A 20,621-nucleotide genomic window follows, 5' to 3' on the forward strand; every position below is an offset into this window, starting at 1 on the left:
GTCTCTTCATCATGAAAAATGGAATGGGGGAGTTGGGGTTGAAGAAAGGAGCTCTCCACTGTTCCAAAGCAAGTCCATACAGTCTCTCCCAAATTAAGTTATATAATCCTTTTAGTCCCAAACAGTGGCTGATGAAGGGAAAACCATGCTAGCCATGCCAAGAAATAAGATACTTTGGTTAACAGCCCTGCTACTTAGAAGAGAGAACTCCCTCAACATAATGTCCTGACATTGGATAAGAGGAGAGGAAATGACTAAAGATAAATTCTTAGCATGCTACCAAGAGTAAAATTGGATGAGGACAGGAAGCCCTAGGTCAGATTGTTCACAATTTCTTGAAGTGTTGTGGTGGCCACGACTAGGAGTTCTTTTAATTTTCCTGGTCTGTGAGGGGCAAGCATTAGTTAGGTAAATGCTGGGATATTTGGTCCCAATAGGCAGTGGCCATAGTAACTTCAATCCCTTGGTTACCTCAGAGGTAGCTGGCTGACATTCCTATCAAAATACCCAACTGATATGAGATGTAAACATTGAGATATAGGAGAAAAGGAGACATGCATTCGTCCACTGGGGGTATAGGAACGAACAGAGGGTTGATAAACATATGTTCCTTGTTATAAAGTAAAATCCTGGCCGCGTGAGGTGGCTCATGCCTGTAATCCCAGTGCTTTGGGAGACCGAGGCGGGTGGATCACTTGAGGTCAGGAGTTCGAGACCAGCCTGGCCAACATGGTGAAACCCCATCTCTACTAAAAATACAAAAATTAGCCATGCATGGTGGCGGGCGCCTGTAATCCCAGCTACTCGGGAGGCTGAGGCAGGAGAACTGCTTGAACCCAGGAGGCAGAGGCTGCAGTGAGCCAAGATCACACCACTGCACTTCAGCCTAGAAAACAGAGCGAGACTCCATCTCAAAAAAGAAAAAAAAAAAAAGTAAACTCCTGTAGGCAGAAACCAGTACTGATGATGATTTAATGTGATCTTGTTTCCCTCCTCTGCCTTCACTCTACCTTGGAGTGTTAGTCACCCATCCCAATCGCAAACAACATGAAGGTGATGTCTCAGCCATTATTACTTTCTTCCCTACACACATACACATACACACACACACACACACACACACACACACACACATTAATGAAATACTCAGGACAACAGCAGACACAAAGCAGTCTTCATTTCTTCCACACATCGGAAACATTTTCAATTACAGTTCAGCTTCTCTGAGGTCCACATCAAGTAGTAAAATACCAAGAGCACAGAAAAGCTGGGTTGGAGGAAATCTCTGCTAATGAGGCACTAAGTGAGAGGCTTCACTTAACAATTCCAATAGACAAGCTGGAGGCCCATGCAGGTCCCTGAGAAAAAGAGTCATTTTGGCTTATGCCCTGAAGGAATTCTACTCTGCACTTTCTCCTTAGAGTGTGCCTATGAAGTGCCACTGTAAAGAGAGGTCCTTGCTGAATGGCCACTAGTAAAATCCTAACAGAGAGCTAATCTGCTTGGGGAGCAGCTTTTTTAATAGTGGTGATTTTCTTCTCAGCCAGAGCTTCTCACTGGAATTAAAAAGACCCCAGCCACACTGACAGTTGCAGGTTCCACATTAGTCAGACTGTTTCCTGGGAGGTACTCTTAGCTGGTAAGCTGTCATATCCTCTGATCAGTCAGGATATATTCTAGCGGGATTCTGGGCCTTCAGCTCAGCCCAGGAAAGCTCAGAAATGCATCAAGCAAATGAGCAGAGCTAGAAGGTCACTTTAGAGAGCCTAAAGTGTTTGAAGACAAGTTATTCCAATTGACTTGGGTAAGAAGGGTGTGAATGGTATTTCTGACCCTTTCAACTATATAGTCGATACCCCCTGTTTCCAAACATAGTGGTAACTCTTAAGAAAATAAAACCTATTTGGGAGTTGCTCTTTCTTCTGATAGGCTTAACAGAAAAGTCAAGAAAATGTACTGATGGGTATCTCACCCATGAACCTCATCCTTTCGTTCAATTTCATGGTTACTCTTGGCAACTCCCAACTCTTCCTAAAATACCCAGAAAATAGAATCAGACAACACTTTGCCTTGCTTCAGTCTCAAAGGGTGGCTCTGAGTTCTCAACCCTGGTCCGAGGGTGCTGGTGACAGCAGACACAATGGAGGTAGTCTACTACATTATGGGTGAAGAGTGAGCGCAATGGATGCAAGTACTGGAAGAAAAGGAGCATGAAGCCAATGGAAATCAGATAAGCAATAATGAGCTGCAAGGCAATCAAGGAATGACAGTAATTCAGTAACACTTTCACTCCAAAGAACTTAAAAACCAAGACCATGATCACATTCTCTACCAACCTCACACTATAGTGCAGGCCCATATGTCCCCAGTTCTGCCCTTTGTCGACGAGATCTCTGTCTGCCAACCTCAACTGCAAAGCTGACCAGCAAGAGAAGTTGATGCCAGCATAGAGGATGGTGACTGAAATCAGGACCACCAGAGTGCCGACCCGGCTGAAGTTTTTCTCAATGTTATTGGGCATCTGGGCACCACTTCTCCAGAACTTAATCCAGGGCTCAAAGAGGATGATCAGGAAGTTGAGCACTAGGAAGGGCACAGCCTTCAATTTCAAAGTGGCTGAGAAGAGCACCAGAATCAGGAGGCGGGAAGTGATCTCCAATGTCCGCCAGATGGTGATGCAGAGGACTTCTAGTGGCCCAAGGCGAATCTTGTAGTCATCGTACTTGATCTGGATAGCCAACATATTGCAAAGGGTGGCCCCATAGGTGACAGATACCAGGGAAAATACCATTAGCACAACTGTTAAAAACAAAAACAAAAACAAAAACAGGCAATCAGTCAATGTTGGTAATGAAGGCTGTACTTATAACCCAGAGGTCCAGAGAGATGACGGGTGAGACTTGAGAGCTCCAGTTAAGAGCAAATGCAAATATGATCACAGCTATGTAAACAAATAGCATGCACTTGAATAGACTTTCTCCGAAGGCGGTATACAAACGGCCAACAGGTATATGAAAAGGTGTTCAACATCACTAATCATCACAAAAATGCAAATCAAAGCCACAATGAGATATCACCTCACACCTGTTAGAATGGCTATTATTAAAAAAAAAAAGTGTTGGTGGGGATGTAAGAAAAAGGACCTTGTACACTGTTTGTGGGAACATAAACTGACACAGCCATTATGGAAAACAGCATGGAGGTTCTCCAAAAAAATTACAAACAGAACGGCCAAACGATCAAATAATCCCACTGCTGGGTGTATACCTAAAGGAAATCAGTATCTCAAAGAGATATCTGCACTCTCATGCTCATTGTAGTATTATTCTCAATAGCCAAGATATGGAAACAAACTCAGTATCTGTTGACAGATGAATGGATAAAGAAAATCTGGTGGGTGTGTCTGTGTGTGTGTGTGTGTGTGCGTGTGTGTGTGTGTGTGTATGAATATTATTCAACCATAAAATTACAGAAACTCTGCCATCCGTGACAACACAGATGAACCTAGAGGACATTATGCTAAGTGAAATGAGCTAGACACATAAAGAAAAATACTGCATTGTCTTACTTATATGTGGAATCTAAAAAAGTTGAACACCTAGCAACAGAGTAGAATGGGTGGTTACCAGGGGATGGGGATTTAGGGAAATAGAAGGATTTTGATCAAAGGCTACAAATTTAGAGTTATAAGATAAATAAGTTTCAGAGCTCTAATGTACAACATGATGACTATAGTTGACAATAATGTATTGTGTACTTGAAATTTTTAAAGAGAGTAGATCTTAAGTTTTACCACACACACACACACACACACACACACACACACGTACAAAAATGATAACTATGTGAGGTGATGAATGTGTTAATTAGTTTGGTTGTGGTAATCATTTCACAATGTGTACATACATCGAAACATCACATTGTACACCTTGAATATATACAATAAAACAAAATAGATGCACAAAAAATTGAAAAAATGAACCAAAATATCTTTTTTTGTGTGTGATAGTCTTATATCAGTTTTAGAAATCTTTTTCTCTACATTTCTCTATTTTCTAAATTTCTCATGATGAACATATACTGTAACACTTTAATAATCATATAAATATACAAAATAAACTTCCTTAAAAAGCATGGGTCTTAGAACATTGAGAAGTCACTAACGTGAGAAGAGTACATATAAAGGTATCAGGCAGACTTTGCTGATGAAGCAGGCTTCGGAGCAAACATTGAATAAGGCGGAAAGAACTCTATCTGAAAAAATCCAGTCTTAGGAGACTCATAGAGAACGCTCTTGCTAATAGAAGTCCCTTCTTTGATGTATATCTTCTTCAAGGAACTAACATTGTTTGTGTGTTTCTAGAACACTTAGCTTCAGTGATGTGTCAAAATGTGTATTGAAAATTCCATGAAGGCAGGAGGGACCATGTTTTCTTCACTGCTGTATTCCCATAGCCTAACATATTACCTGGAACATAGCAGGTGCTCAATAAATGTTTGTGGAATTAATGAAGACTTCTGAGATTAGAGAGGTGCATAAAATACCTAATTAGGCTGGGCGCGGTGACTCATGCCTGTAATCCCAGCACATTGGGAGGCCAAGGCGGATGGATCACCTGAGGTCAGGAGTTCGAGACCAGCCTGGCCAACATGATGAAACCCCATCTCCGCTAAAAATACAAATATTAGTCAGGCGTGGTGGCGTGCACCTGTATTCCCAGCTACCTGGGATGCTGAGGCAGGAGAATTACTTGAACCTGGGAGGCAGAGGTAATAGTGGGCCGTGATTGCACCACTGCGATCCAGCCTGGGCAACAGAGTGAGACTCTGTCTCAAAAAGAAAGAAAAAAAAATTAGCCAGGCATGATGGCATGCCTGTAATCCCAGCTGCTCAGGAGGCTGAGGCACGAGAATCACTTGAACCCACGAGGCAGAGGTTGCAGTGAGTTGAGATTGCCCCACTGCACTCCAGCCTGGGTGACAGAGTGAGACTCCTTCTCAAAAAGAAAAAAAATAAAAAATAAAACTAATTAGAAATCCTTGGTTCCAGCCGTGCACACGGTGGCTCACACCTGTAATCCCAAGCACTTTGCGGGGCTGAGGTGGGTGGATCACCTGAGGTCAGGAGTTCAAGACCAGCCTGACCAACATGGTGAAACCCGGTCTCTACTAAAAATACAAAAATTAGCTGGGCATGGTGGTGCATGCCTGTAAGGAGGAAGGGAAGAAAGAAAGGGAGAAAGAGAGAAAGGGAGGAAGGGAGGAAGACAGAAAGAGAGAGAGAGAAAGAAAGAGAGAAAGAAAAGAAAGAAAAAGAAAAGGAAAAAGAGAGAAAGAAAGAGAAAGAAAGAAGAAAGAAAGAAAGAAAGAAAGAAAGAAAGAAAGAAAGAAAAGAAAGAAAGAAAGAAAGAAAGAAAGAAAGAAAGAAAGAAAGAAAGAAATCCTTGGTTCAGCTGTATGGGAACTTTTGGAAGTCACTGAATATCTATGTACCTCAGTTCTCAATTCACTGAGATACTCAAGAGTTGCTTATATTTGTCATCAGCAATGTCAATTCATTACCCCCATATGTTAGGAATCTCTGAGTTTGCAGCAGAGTAGTTCAAAAATTTCCAAACCCTGTTGCCTCACCCATGACATCCATGGAACCATATGTTAGAGTAGTGGCCCTAAAGAGCCAGGATGCTCCCTAACCTACCTAAGCCTCAACTATAGATGACACAGGTGGCCCTTTCCTTTTCTTCCTTTATGTCAAAGGATGCTGATTACTAAGAAAAATCCAGTGCTCTCAAGAGAAGTGGGATGGCTGAGGAATACTCATCCAAAAGGAAAGCTGGAGTTTTCTGTTCCTATTAAAACACTTGATGTAGGGAAAAGGTGGCCATAGAGATGTCAACTTAATCTTTTACTTTTAGTGGAGGAAAAGTTAAGATTTCCCCCATGTAAACCCAAAAGGAAGCACAGCTCTGAGTTCTTCAGTTTTAAGTAGAGTGTTGGAATCTCAGAGACTGGAATTGGAGACTCTTGAAGTGGTGACTCTTGTCTTTCTCAACCATTCTCAGTCCCATCCTCAAGAGCTGATGCACCTTATGTAACTGGGAATGTGAGAGCATACATCCAGCTGTGTGGCGATGCTTTCCCTTACATTAGAACTCATTTATTGATTAGTAGTGTAACAGAAGGAAAAAAACCTGATGCTTCCAATAAATGTCAAAACATTTTCAATCTGTGTCCCTACAAATACACTCATGCCATAAGAGAACAAAATACACAGGCTCTGGAGGCAAACACCCTGAATTCCAATCCAATCTTTGCTTATGGGACCTTGGGGGAATATACTTAAACTCTCAGTGCGTCTGTTTCTTCGTCTGTAAAATGAGAATGATAATTATCTCATAGGGTTGTGGTAAAGATTAAATAAACATTTACATGTAAAGGGCTTAGAGAAATGCCTAGAACCTAGTAAATTCTTTTAGCTGTGTTCTTCTTTCTTCTTCTTCCTTCTTCCCTTCTTCCTTTCCTTTTTCTCCTCCTCCCCCTCCTCCTCTTTCTTCCTATTCTTTGTCATCTTCATCATCCCCCTATTTCCAAAAGTATGGTAGGTGGGTTTACTTTACCTGGATACTATCCTGCTACTTAGAAAATCAGGTCATTTTAAAACTGATAGAACATCTGAAAGTAAGCCTTATAAAAATGTAAGACTCATAGCAAGAAAACTATACAACTTTACTGAAGAAAACTATACAATTTTACTGAGGTACATGTTAAAATATTTAATAAAATGGAGAGATTTATCATTTCACAATATGAAATCCAACAATCCTATAAAGATGTAAATTCTCCCAAAATAACCTAAGTAATTTGATGCAAATCTCAATCGGAATCTCAATGAAATGTTTTTTTCTTTTGCTGTTATTATTTTGCTTTGTTTTTTGTAGGATGAATTAAAAAATTATCTTGAAAATTAATCTACTTAAAAGATTGGGGAAAATTGTTCTACCAGATGAGAGATGTGATAGGCCTTTGTAAGAAAGGCACAAAATCTAAAAGCAATAAAGAATTTGAATACATAAAAATGTAATACTTCAGAATGCCAGAAGATACTACAAAGTGTATTGTGGATATTAAATATATCACACACATATTACACGTATGACATGTATATACATATTTAAAATGTGTGTATGTACAAGCAAAAAATTATACAAATATATGCATACATATTCACAGCAGAGAAAGGATTAATAACAAGAATAAGTAAATAGCTCCTAAAAATTAATATGAAAAAGACAACCCACTAGAAAAAGCGAGTAAAATATATAAACAAGCAATTCACAGAACACACAATGACCAAACACAAAAAGATGCTCAGCTTCATTCATAACCAAAGAAAGCGAATTATTTTAAAAGTCAATTATTTTAAAAGCCAATTATTTTATAATTATACAAATAAAGAATATTGAGTTTAAGATATGAAGAAACAGAAACAGGCACATTTGTATACTGTTGGTGAGAGTATAAATTCATATATCTTTTTGGAAGAGTTATTTGGCAATATCAATAAAATTTTAAACATACATATCCTTCCACCCAGCAATTCTACTGCTATAAATTTATCCTACAAAGTCTCATTCATGTACACAGGTATTTATAAAGATGTTTACTGTGGCATAATTTGCAATTAGGAAACAACTTTTTTGTGAAAAATTAAAATTTGTGAGGCTGACATAGGGCTCCTGCTGCCCCTCTTTCTTCCACAGTGTGAAGTCCTTACTCATGGCCTCCAAACATCTGCAGAAGTAAAGCATCATGGGAACTTAACTAAAGCTGTCCTGAGAAGGGAGGTTGTAATGAGGGGAAAAAATAACTAGGGGAGGTTGTGCTACCTTTTTTTTTCCTTTTTGAGACAATCAATAGAATCCTATCAATAGAAAATTAGGAGAATAAAAAGTCTAATTCATATAAAGGAAATGTATATTATATATTTATTATTGTTATACATGTATATATAAATAACTTGAGAAAAGACATACTGGCATACTGTACTTTTGAAAAATACTTTGTTGACAGAATGTTTCATACAGTCCATTTTGGGGCAAAAACATGTACAATATATATTGTATGTATGTTTATGTTTACATAGTAAAAATAAGTCCAGAAGGATATATACTGGATGATTAACAGAGGTTATCTTTGGGGAGTGAGATTACGTTTCCTATTTTATATCTATTCTGTATGGTTTTTAATTTTTACTATAACCATGTCTGACTTTTGTAATTAAAAAAAGATAAAGACCAAAACTAGTAATGCATGATCACAAAAAAAATTTTCAAACCATACAGAAGAATTTTAAAAAGTAAGACTGCTGACTTTTCATTCCCACTCCGCAGAGGTAGTTTCTTGCATAGTTTCCAGAAATTTTCTGTGCAAATACAATTACTTATATGTCATTTTGTGCATGTATTACTTTTGTTATTTATTTATTTATTTATGAGACGGGAGTCTCCCTCTGTCGCCCAGGCTGGGGTGCAGTGGTGCAGTCTCAGCTCACTGCAACCTCCACCTCCCAGGTTCAAGCAATTCTCCTGCTTCAGCCTCCCAAGTAGCTGGGATTACAGGCACCCACCACCACGCCTGGCTGAATTTTTTTTTGAGACAGAGTCTCGCTCTGTTGCCCAGGCTGGAGTGCAACGGTGAGATCTCGGCTCCCAGGTTCAAGTGATTCTCATGCATCAGCCTCCCAAGTAGCTGGGATTATAAGCATCCACCACCATACCCGGCTAATTTTTGTATTTTTAGTAGAGACAGAGTTTCGCCAGGCCAGGCTGGTCTCAACCTCCTGACCTCAGGTGATCCACCTGCCTCGGCTTCCCAAAGTGCTGGGATTACAGGTATCAGCCACCATGCCCATCCTTGATTTTTTTTGTGTTTTTAGTAGAGATGGGGTTTCAACATGTTGGCCAGGCTGGTTTTGAACTCCCAACTTCAAGTGATCCGCCTGTCTTGGCCTCCCAAAGTGTTAGGATTACAGGCGTGAGCCATCATGCCCAGCCGTAATGTACACCTATTTTTATTAGATGATTTAAAGGAAAAGCATCATCATTTCCAAAGAGTTTTCTCCTCAAACTACTATGTATGTGAAAAGCTTCAAGACCAACAGAACTTCAAGAACAATTCTGAGTGGGGAAAAAAGACAAAAGAGGGCAAATTTTCTCCTTACCTTATTTGAGACATGGGACTTTGCCAAACAGGGTTAGAATCTAATAGGAAATGGTCCAAACCTGTACCCACACCTATACCAGTGCCTGCCCAAGCAGATGAAGCAAATCTCAGGCTGTTAAAATTCATTAACAACAATTTATCTCAACTTTGAAAACACTGACTCACATTTCATCTTCTGCTAGAGGTCTTACTCATTTCAGGATCCCTCTTCTACAAGTGGGAAATTAGGTCAGTGATTGCTTTGTAACTTCCTCCAAAGATCACAGTGAAGGTCAGAACTTGGTCCAGGCCTGACTCTCATTAGTATTAACCCCACGCTTTTTTTTTTTTTTTTTTTTTTTTTTTGAGACGGAGTCTTGCTCTGTCACCCAGGCTGGAGTGCAGTGACGCGATCTCGGCTCACTGCAAGCTCCGCCTCCCAGGTTCACGCCATTCTCCTGCCTCAGCCTCCCGAGTAGCTAGGACTACAGGCGCCTGCCACCACGCCCGGCTAATTTTTTGTATTTTTAGTACAGACGGGTTTTCATCATGTTAGCCAGGATGGTCTCAATCTCCTGACCTTGTGATCCACCCGCCTTGGCCTCCCAAAGTGCTGGGATTACAGGCTTGAACCACCGTGCCCAGCCCACGCTCCTTTTCTTTCTCTCCACTGGCATTAGCAGAAATGATTAAATCATTGGTTCCCAAATGTGGCTGATCAAAATCAACTGGGTACCTTTTAGAAATACATATTAAGATTGATTCAAGTCTGGGGAGTGAATATAATTTCAAAAAGAAGCTCATCACATGATTCTGATGATCAGTACTATTTGGGAACCTCTTATTAAAGACTGCCATCCTTAAACAAACAAAACAACAGCATAATTTAAACATTTTGGGCAAGGGAAAATATCCTACTGACTGCTGGTATTACTAGCTTCTTCTGGGCCCAGAGAAGGTTTATCTGTGACATTTTTAGTCTAAACAGCTTACCTGTTTAAGAAATCTGGCAGGCTTGAGATGTCTGACTCCACAAGTTATTTAACTATCTCCCAGTGCTGTCCGATAGAACTTTCTGTGATGATGGAAATGTTTATACCTGTGCCATCCAATACAGTAGTTGCTAGCAACACACGGCTGCTGAGAACTTGAAATGTAGCTAGTATTAATGAACAAGTTTTTAATTTTATTTAATTTTAAGTTAAATAGCCACATGAAGCTAGTGGCCAGTTTATTAGACAGCTTGGGTCTAGACTTCTAAGACCCTTGATTTAACTGGAGCCCTCCCCTCTCCTGACCCCACTCACCTCTACCCAGGGGAACCTCTGCAGAGATCAGGCTCACATAGAGCTGATAGGTCAGCTGGGGCACTGAGCCCAGGAAGGCTTGGATCTGTGACATACGTTTGTAGGCATTGCGGTGCATAGCCAGGGTCCGGATGGAGTGGCCCACCTCCCATTCTATCAGCACCTCCTCGCCATCTATTAGCATCTTCTTTCGGGTGAGGCTGACATAGGGCTCCTCCTGCTCCTCTTTCTTCCACAGTGTGAGGTACTTAATCATGGCCTCCAAACATCTGCAGAAGTAAAGCATCATGCAAACTTAACTAAGCTGTCCTGGGAAGGGAGGTTGTAGTGAGGGAAAAAAATAACTTGGGGAGGTTGTGCTACTTTATTTTATTTTTGAGACAAGGTCTTACTCCATCACCCTGGCTGGAGTGCAGTGGCACAATCATAATTCATTGCAGCTTTGACCTCCTAGGCTCAAATGATCCTCCCACCTCAGCCTTCTGAGTAGCTAGGACTACAGGCGCATGCCACCATGCCAGCTATTTTTAATTTGTGTAGAGAGGAGATCTAGACATGTTGCCCAGACTGGTCTCAAACTCCTGGGCTCAAGCAATCCTACTGCCTTGACCCAAAGTGCTGGGATCCTAAAGTGCTGGGATCACACGTGTGAGACACCATGGCCAGCCTGCACTACTTTTTGTCTTTTTCTCTCTTCTGTTCTGATCATTTCTCATAAGTCAAAGGGTGGATCATGCCTTCTACAAGTTACATGAATCTAAATCCATTTTTGTTCAGTCATCGACTGACCTAAGAACACTGTTTCAGAAGTACTTGTTTGAGGACTCGAGGAATTGTTTTGTCTTTTTAAGAATAGGCCTGTGGCAGGTAGAAAAGTGCCTTGAACACAAAGGTATTAAGTCGATACTGTTTTCCTAGCAAAATAATGAAGGTTCCAAAGGCCCTGTTTTCTTACCTCAAATTCGTGAGGTAAAGCATTCCTCCCTCAAAGCATTCAGCTCCATAACCAAAGTTTTAGATTCTGCTTTTTCTTTTTCTTTCTTTCTTTTTTTTTTTTTTTTTGAGACAGAGTCTTGCTCTGTCGCCCAGGCTGGAGTGCACTGGCGCGATCTCAGCTCACTGTAACCTCTGCCTCCTGGGTTCAAGCGATTCTCCTGCCTCAGCCTCCTGAGTAGCTGGGATTACAGGCATGTGCCACCATGTCCGGCTAAGGTTTTTTTTTTTTTTTTTTGTATTTTTAGTAGAGACGGGTTTTCACCATGTTGGCCAGGCTGGTCTTGAACTCCTGACCTCAGGTGATCCACCCACCTCAGCTTCCCAAAGTGCTGAGATTACAGGCATGAGCCACTGCGCCTGGCCAGATTCTGCTTTTTCAAGAAAGGGCTCACAACCATATCTCAGCCAAAAAGTCTTGGGACAGATCAGAGGAAAAAAAATATCTCATATACACAGGAAGCCATCAAAGCAACAAAAGTACTTAAAAGACGACAACTCAAACCTGAATGAACTACATAACTAGGCCCTCGAAAGATCACTGTAATAGTTACTTTTTGTGCCTCTTGTCCTGTTTGTGGACAAAAGCCTTTTAAACTGGATTCTTTCTTTACGAAGAGAAAAACATCCTTATGAAAGCCTATCATCCTTGGAATAAGGGTAAGATGACATTTCCTGCTCTGCCCCTCCCACCTCCCCCATACAAATCAGAAGTCTTTAGCAGTTCTGATGTGGTAAGTGGAAGAGAAGCAACTAGAACATCTTGTTCTGGAACACCTGAGTTACCACTTCGCCACTCACCTTTAATGAATAAAAACTGTGGACTACTTATGACTAGTAAGAACATTTGTAGTGGACATTAACACGTCTTGCCCAAGAGACTGAGGTCAAGGGTTGTATTTATCTTGTTTACAGCTCTTATCACTTAGTAGGTATTTGAGAAATATTTGCTGAGTAAATGAAAGAATAAGAAGGAAGAAAATAATACAGGGTAAGCAATTATGGGAGGAGAGGATAATAATAACAGCAATGAAATTTAACAGAAAAGTAGACCAAAGACAAGCCCAGAGGTTGATATGCTCTCTAGCCTTTAGTTCCTGATAGGAAAATTTGGAACATATGCTGGCTGCCAGTCTCCATAGATCACCCTAAGACTGATGCATGTGTACCACTCTGAAGCATGTAGTTTGAAATTGTCACCTTCTAGGGACAAACTCTAAGACCTGGGAAAGAAAAAGATGCAAAGAAAGAACAGAGAAGAAAAAGCAACACTTTTTTCCTATTCTTGTTCTGCATAAGTGCATTTTCAATGAAAAATTTTAGATTTTAACCCCAACCCATCAGTACTATTGCTAAATTGGAGAACAGTATTGGAGAAGGTGGTGGCATGAAATGTTCCGTTTACATTTACATAAATGTTCTGTTTCTATTCTCAGGGCTATTTTCTGGTTTAAGTAAGGGTGTTTGTCCATTTATAAGCTTCAATAAATTAGAGTACATTTTCATTTCGGAAGTATGCTTGCATTTCATGTAAGGCACCCAGACTCTACAAGCACCTTCATGTGCCTGATAACACTAATCAAGTTCCTACCTATCTAACAAGTAATTGGCCTTGAAAATAAGCGAATCCAGAGTATAATTTATGAGTTTTTATCTTTTCTCTGCTGTGGGCTAAGCTGCCTGAGGTTATAAATGCTTCCCAATCATTTCTAGTGGAAGCTAAACAACAAAAATGAAAAACAGTACTCAACACTCTACACAGAGGGTTCACAAAGCAAACAAAGGAAGTCAAAAAGAGGGGAGGGTGCAGCTGGGTACTTTCTGAAATTTGTATCTTGAGAGTTTTCGATTGGTTAACTCAATATATTGTATTTGAAAAAGGAGGGATGAATGGTTTATTTGCTCCTGTAGTCACAACTTTAAATTTCTTGGTTTCAAGGTCAAGATGAGGTCTTCCTTTTACAGCTTAACTTCAAAGATTTAGAACCGTAAAGGACCTTTACATCACCCAGTCCAAAGATGCATATAGGCCAGCTGAGTTATATCTGACCAACAGATATGGTTTGGTCCATCCTGTGTTGTTGTTGTTATTGTTTTAGTCAGCTGTGAAAATTTAAAATCATGACATTTCATATAAAAATCCTGTCTTGGGAGCATCTCCCGAAAAGTTAGTGGATCTGGCAATACTGGGTCTGAATTCCAACATGGAAACAATGCGCCAGGGCTCTAGAGGGGCTACCTCCTTCAGGCAGGTCATGAAGATTTCAGATTACCATGGTACTCACTACTCCTCAGTATTTCTCTGAGACTTTGTTTTCATTTATCATCTCACACAAGGCTACTGTTTTTTCTTATACTAGGCCTGCTTCATTCATTTATGATACCTGCCTGGTCCCTGCAAGTGTTTGAGTTTGAGACCCATGATTTAGACTAACCCATTTGCTTTACAGATGAGGGAACTCTATATGCCTTCCTGTGAAGCCATCTTCAGAGATTTTACCAAGAACACACAACCAGTCAATGACAGGGGGAAGACTAGACTCCAAATTTCAGGCCACTGTTTCCATTGATATCCCATATTCTCTCTGATAGAGCCTAATCGATTCCTCCCCACTTAAAAATTTATTGATAAAAAATTTTTTTGGCCTTATTGAGGTATAAGTGACAAATAAAAATTATACATGTGTACAGATATGAAATTTTATAAAGGAGTGAGTTCCATCCTTAATTAGTTTCACAGACTTTTTAGTTGTCTAATGATGAGGTATCTTCCCATTGCAACACTCTGACCCATATTCCTCGGCTGACTGCAGTTGTCTGCCTCTCTTGCAATCAAGACAAACTTGGTCCATTCCTTACTCCTGAACTCATAAGTTTTGCAACATCTCTCTACCTTGAAAACCCCATAGCATCCAGATGAGACTGTTGACACAGGTGCCTATCTCGCTAGGATTAAGTGCATTCTTTCCACTTCAAGGCAATCTGAATGGAAATACTTGATACTATTAAATTGTGCTACTGCATCCACATAGAGAGATGAACTGCCTTCCTTTGCCCCCTCCCAACTTCGTATCTTTATTGCAGAAATATACAAAGAGATAAATAGGAAACTGATAAACCGACAGAGAACTGAACTATATTGGGTTGGGGTACAGATTACCACAGATGGTTTAAAATAGTTTCCAGATGTCACATTACTCTGGAAAATTTGAAAATGGCAGTAGCACCAGCCCAAGCAGCTCAGGGTAAAGAAACTTTTATCCAATTTACAAAGCATCCAAAAGGTAGAGTCAAAATTACACACTCAGACCAGGCGCGGTGGCTCACTTTGGGAGGCTGAGGCAGGAAGATCACTTGAGCCCAGTCTACATAACGAGATCCCGTCTCTACAAAAAAAATTTTTTTTTTTTTGAGATGGAGTCTCACTCTATCGCCCAGGCTGGAGTGCAGTGGCACCGATCTTGGCTCACTGCAACCTCTACCTTCCGGGTTCAAGTGATTCTCCTGCCTCAGCCACCAGAGTAGCTGGGATTACAGATATGCGCCACCACACCCAGCTGATTTTTAGTAGAGACAGGGGTTTCACCATGTTGGCCAGCTGGTCTTGAACTCCTGACCTCAGGTGATCCACCCGCCTCAGCCTCCCAAAGTGCTGGGATTACAGGCATGAGCCACCACACCCGGCCTATAAAAATTTTTTTTTAATTAACCAGGCATGGTGACACATTCCTTTGGTCCCAGCTACTTGGAGGCTGAGGTGGGAGGTTCGCTTGATCCCAGGAGATCAAGGCTGCAGTGAGCCATGATCGCACCACTGCACTGTAGCCTGGGAGGCAGAGCAAGACCTTGTCTCAGAAAAAAAAAATTTTTTAAATAAAATTACACACTCTGCAGCTATGGCCTTCATGCACAGGGTGATCACGTCTTGTTGTTCCCATTCTAGTTTACACAGGCCAAATAGCATCGTTCATTGTTTTGGAACACAAGTACATACCACATGTTCATCATGGTGGCATTTAAGATTTCAGGTAAGTTTTCTGAATGGTAGACAGGGAAGCCGAGAGTGGGAGGAAATGAGAGAATTGATTAGAGCCATAGTATCCATCTTGTAAATCTTTCATCTTTCTCTGCCCAAGTCTGGGGTGGGGTTAGGGGGGTAAGGAAAAGATTTAAAAGTTGCTCACCTGATAACAGGTCCCAAGAGGATTAGATGCATAAATAATGATAGCGGTTTATCTTTGGCTAGATCTCTGTGGACAAAAATGAGGGTCAACTGGACCATAATGGATGAAAACATAAAGAAAGAAAAGGTGTATGTCATCCAGTAAGTTTCACTATTCTTTCGATAGATTCTAACCATGTACAAAGCAGATGCAGCCTCCCCACAGTACAAAAAGGTGGAGAAAAGGATGCTAAATGGAAAAGTAAATCGGGGGTTGGCTCCACGGATGACATCTTCCTCCAGAGATGAAACCGGATCCACATTTGGCTCCTCAGGAATTTCATAAACTCTGTCCATTGTCGAGGTTCTTTCTGAATGTTGTGGTCTTGTGTTCATAGCACCCTCCCACCCATCCCCAAGAGAACCCTATGGCCGCTACAGTCCAAGTATAGGTGAGGAGAGCTCTGTCAAGTCCAGTTTGGGAACAGAGATTCACTAGTTAGAGCAAGAAACCGCTCTCTTCTAGACTCAGATTCGACTTGGAGTCTGGGATGGAAAGCCCAGGAGTACCACTTTGAACTTGACTCTTGATTGGCCCCGATTCCAATCGTCAACATACTTGCTGTGAAACTTGAACAAGACAAAAGCAAGCATCCCAGCGCCCCATCCAGAGTCCAACTCCAGGGACGTGAAGAGTCATGAGAACAGCGGCTTCCGTGGCGGCTCCTTTCGCAGCCCCTCAGGCAGGGTGTAGCCGATCTGTCGGGGGCACCGACACTCAGCAGCTCCTCACAAAGAGTCCTGACCAGTGTGTCCTCTCAAGTCAGCGGAGAGCTGAGCCAGGGCAGAAGAGCGGGCGCAGAAGAAGGAGGGCAGAAGAGGGGATTCAGTTCAGTGCCTAGGTATCCTAGCTATTGCTAGGCTGTAGCTATCAGCTGGCCCGCTCACCTGCGCGCTCTCAGGACCTTTGCCGAGTCCAGGGTTCTCAGGATAGCTCCTCGGATTCCCCCAAGCCCCGCCCCCAAGACCGCCTGGCCCGGGAGTGGAGTATTGTCACCACCCTGTCTCCGAATGCAGTGTTGAGGGACAGAAGCAGAGCGCGCTCGCTCTACAGGATGAAGAAAAGGCTGGAGGGGCTGCTTCTCCTCGGAGAAACTTTGCTAGTGAGAGGCACGATGTGCGGGGCGCCAACCTGGCTGGACGGAGGTCGCCAAACTCTTGGACGCCGTCTGCTGCCAGGGTCCTGCCTGGTCTGCGATTCCAGCTGCGAGAGGTCGGCAGCTTCAAAAACTAAGGCACCGGGACGGCGGGGGCGGGCGAGATGGGCGGGACGGCTGCGGCCAAACAAAACCAGCCGGAGAGTTCCCGGGCAGGCGGCCAGCCGAGGGATGCTCGTTGTGGAGTGGCGGGACAAAAAGGGGCTTGGGCCGCTCTTCAGAAGCACTTCTGACCACCACCTCCAGACCCAGGCAGGAGCCACAGCTTTACTCCTCCCTAGGAGCAGCAGGCCCCCACTTCTACCCCGCCCTCCCTAACTAGTTAAGTGACTTGCTTCAACACTCACTCTACCCACGCTGTTAGGCAGGTGTGTCTCCCTCCGCCGCAGGGTGGAACCTCCCTAGGTCCTATTGCCCTCCAGATAATATCATGAAGGGGGAACCTGGGAGGAATAGGGTCAGAGTTTTCGGCGGAGGGAAGATAGAACAGGATAAAGGTCAAGACTCAAGGTCAGCCCACAGACACTGAAAGCTCATATTTTATGCCTTGATTTCTCCACTTGCAAAATGAGGCCAGGATAGGAGCTTTAGAATGAACTTACAGGTCTTTGGTTGAAAGGTTATGAAGAGGTGCCAAATTCTAAACAGACTGGCAAAGAGCCAAGAGAGAGCTGTTAGTAAAAACTGAGAGGGGTGTCTTAAAGAGCTTTGAAAATTACCTGTATTCTTAAGTGTAATCCTCCCCACCTCACTGAGCTTTTGTTTTCATATCTTCATTTGCATAATTCTAAACCTCAGAGAAAAAGAGAACACATCTGCCTCCTGGTAATAATATAGATGAAGGCCAGGCACAGTGGTTCACGCCTGTAATCCCAGCACTTTGGGAGGCTGAGGCAGGCAGATCACTTGAGGTCAGGAGTTCGAAACCAGCCTGGCCAACGTGGTGAAACCCCATCTCTACTAAAAATACAAAAATCAGCTGGTCGTGGTGGTGCGTGACTGTAATCCCAGCTACTCAGGAGGCTGAGGCAGGAGAAAAACTTGAACCCGGACGGCAGAGGTTGCAGTGAGCTGAGATCACGCCACTGCACTCCAGCCTGGGCAACAGAGCAAGATTACGTCTTAATAATAATAATAATAATAATAATAATAATAATAATAATGATGATTATGTAGCAGAGCCTGTGCCAATCTCCTTTTGCTGCAGGAAGTCAGTAAAACAAATCTATGTGAGGAGTGGCCAAGTAGCAGCCACCAAAATAATGGCCTCCAGGTTGTCCTGTCATTATGTTGTTTTTTGTTTTTTTAAGGTTTCCATGATTGCTGCCTCCTTTCCCCAGGGCTGATTCAGGGACAGATTCAACATCTAAAGGTTGTCACCTTCTGAAGCAGACTCCGCATCTTGGTCTGCACCTATGCTAGCAGCTGGGCTAGGAGGCTGCTCCTTTCTCCTTTCCATTTCATGAAGGAGGTCAACACTATTGAGAACAACTTCAGAGAGTGTTCTTTTTCTTATTAGTTGGGACATTCCAACTGGGACAAGGTTCTCCACCACCAGTATATGGTGCAGAACCTCTTGGGGCTGCTCTAGGTAACTGTTCACAAGGTGAATCTCAGGCAAGGTGACCAATTAATCCCATTTCACTGGGATAGGGTGAGTTGGTCCCCCTAAACATGAGAGAGTCAGCCGGGCGCGGTAGCTCATGCCTGTAATCCCAGCATTTCGGGAGGCCAAGGTGGGTGAATGGCCTGAGATCAGGAGTTTGAGACCAGCCTGACCAACATGGTGAAATCCTGTCTCTACTAAAAATTCAAAAATTAGCTGGGCGTGGTGGTGGGCACCTGTAATCCCAGCTACTCGGGAGGCTGAGGCAGGACAACCCCTTGAACCCAGGAGGCAGAAGTTGCAGTGAGCCAAGATAGCACCATTGCACTCCAGCCTGGGTGACAAGAGTGAAACTCCATCTCAAAAAAATAAAAATTAAAAATAAAAAAAAAAAAAAACATGGGAGAGTAAAGCTAAGAAGAAGAATGTAGAATCCCAACGTTTACCTTTTAGCCTTTCCTCCTTCTTCTCCATGGCCTTGTCTCTCCCCAAATACAAAAATTTACAATGCCTTCCTACTTTGTTCCAAAATGACTCCTTCTGTCTGTCATTCAAGGCTCTATATAATCATCACACTACTTCCCTCTCAGATTTTATTGCCCACACTACTCCTTCCACAAGGCCAGCCAGTTTTCTCACTTCTCCTATTTGCGTTGCTCACTCCCACCTCTGCCTTGTTGATGCGATTTACAACCCCCTTCACCCTTTTCTCCATTAGTCCAAACCATAACTTTCTTTCAAGGGTCAGCCGAAGTGCTCCCACCTCCAAGAAGCCTTCTGTCACCTCCCCAACCCTCATTTTTCTCTCTTCATGCTACTGGCACATGCTCTCTCATACTAGTCCTTCAACTATTTCTGTGTTTGTCCTGCCTCCCCCCAAAAATGTAAAGTTAGTGAGGGAAGGATGCTCAATGACTGTTTATTGTGGCACTTGTTGATGACAATGGTGATTGACAAATGGTGATGATGATGACGCTTCCTCCCCCATACTTCCTCCTTGAAACCATGCAAGACTCAGACACACTCATCTCTAAAAGCTGTGGCCACTGTAGCTGGGGCATAAACTCCTCTGGCTGAATGAGCACTGTCTCATTCAGCCATCAGCTCACAGAGGTTCCCAGACCACATGATCTGTCCCTTCTCAAGGATTTCTATAGCATTCTTTTGTTTATACCAGAGTGTAGCACCAAAATTATTTCAAGTATATTAATTTTTATTCCCCAACTAAATTATCACGGGCTCCTTGAGGGCAGAGCCCTTATTACTGTACTTTTGTTGGACTCCCCCATGACTGGTATAGACCTGTAAAGTTCCTGTCATCTGATCACCCTCACCCACCAACTTCTCTATTTTCAGCCCTAGGATTCTCTGGCGCTTTAGGTCACTAAATCCTCTGGTCTCTTATTTCCCCGTTCCTTTGCCCTGCTGGGAGTAGCTAACTGAGAATTTGCTGTTTCTGTCCAAACACTCTTTGCTCTCTCAGGCCATCTCAAGATTCCAGCTCTTTACTCTTCTTGGGACTAAAGATGCTGGAAATGTTGGCAGTCATAAGGCTGCTGAGGCTCTAGGAACCCCTGTCCCATTAAAAGCACTGATCTCCCACAGACTAGTCATCTGAGGTGACACCTAGGCTGCCTCCTGAATGCCAGGTAGTGTTCAAGCATAAATTTCTCCTCCTGAGAAGCACTAGAATTCTGCAAGAAAGGGGAAGAACAAGATCTGACTCCTTACCACTCTATTTCCAACCACTGACTCAACAGGAACAAAGAGCGCATCTAAAAGCCATGTGGTCTAAAAGCTCTTGGCATCTTTATCAGCATTCAGAATCCCTCTATAAGGCTCAGGGATGGGGTTGAGCTTTCCAAGCCTCTGCAGCCTGAAGACTGCCCAAAAGCCTCCAAGGAATGGATGTGTAAGAGGTGCGTGGCATCCATGAGGAAAGAGGAGAGGAAGGACAGAGATGTGCAGCAAGTGGCTGACAGTCCAGTCACAGAACACTTATTGGTGGGAGGTGATGGGCAAGGCCCAGAGAATCAATAGCCAGAATGGAAGATGGCTTCCCTCTAAAGAATGCTCAGTTTGGGCTGTTAGAATGCTTAAAAGATATCTAGAGGCCAGGCATGGTGGCTCACACC

The 20,621-nt window shown here is 42.7% G+C and overlaps 1 protein-coding gene across 4 annotated transcripts in view, besides 2 other annotated features; it reads right to left on the reverse strand.

Moving 5' to 3' along the window:
• Positions 1–20,621, reverse strand: part of XKRX (XK related X-linked) — a 72,428-nt gene that overhangs the window by 25,369 nt on the left and 26,438 nt on the right. The window contains exons 1-3 of one of the 4 annotated variants that reach the window (XM_011530954.4): positions 15,686–16,633; positions 10,509–10,777; positions 2,337–2,799 (exon numbers count right to left, since the gene is read on the reverse strand). In XM_011530954.4, the coding sequence (XP_011529256.1) occupies positions 2,337–2,799; positions 10,509–10,777; positions 15,686–16,059 (1,106 nt within the window). In that variant the 5' untranslated portion in view covers positions 16,060–16,633. The other 3 variants (NM_212559.3, XM_011530955.2, XM_017029517.2) reach the window with 3 other exon arrangements.
• Positions 14,837–16,036: an enhancer, noted in NCBI's record as "CDK7 strongly-dependent group 2 enhancer chrX:100182110-100183309 (GRCh37/hg19 assembly coordinates)". NCBI's record gives its function as "activates an origin of replication core promoter dependent on BRD2, BRD4, P300/CBP, MED14 and CDK7 cofactors, with strong dependence on CDK7, by STARR-seq in HCT116 cells {active_cell/tissue: HCT116}" and the evidence as "EXISTENCE:reporter gene assay evidence [ECO:0000049][PMID:35650434]".
• Positions 17,230–17,279: an enhancer, noted in NCBI's record as "active region_29806". NCBI's record gives its function as "activates an Ori minimal core promoter by ATAC-STARR-seq in GM12878 lymphoblastoid cells {active_cell/tissue: GM12878}" and the evidence as "EXISTENCE:reporter gene assay evidence [ECO:0000049][PMID:35858748]".

This window comes from Homo sapiens, chromosome X (genome assembly GCF_000001405.40).
Source record: "Homo sapiens chromosome X, GRCh38.p14 Primary Assembly".
In the NCBI taxonomy this organism is placed as follows: Eukaryota; Metazoa; Chordata; class Mammalia; order Primates; family Hominidae; genus Homo; species Homo sapiens.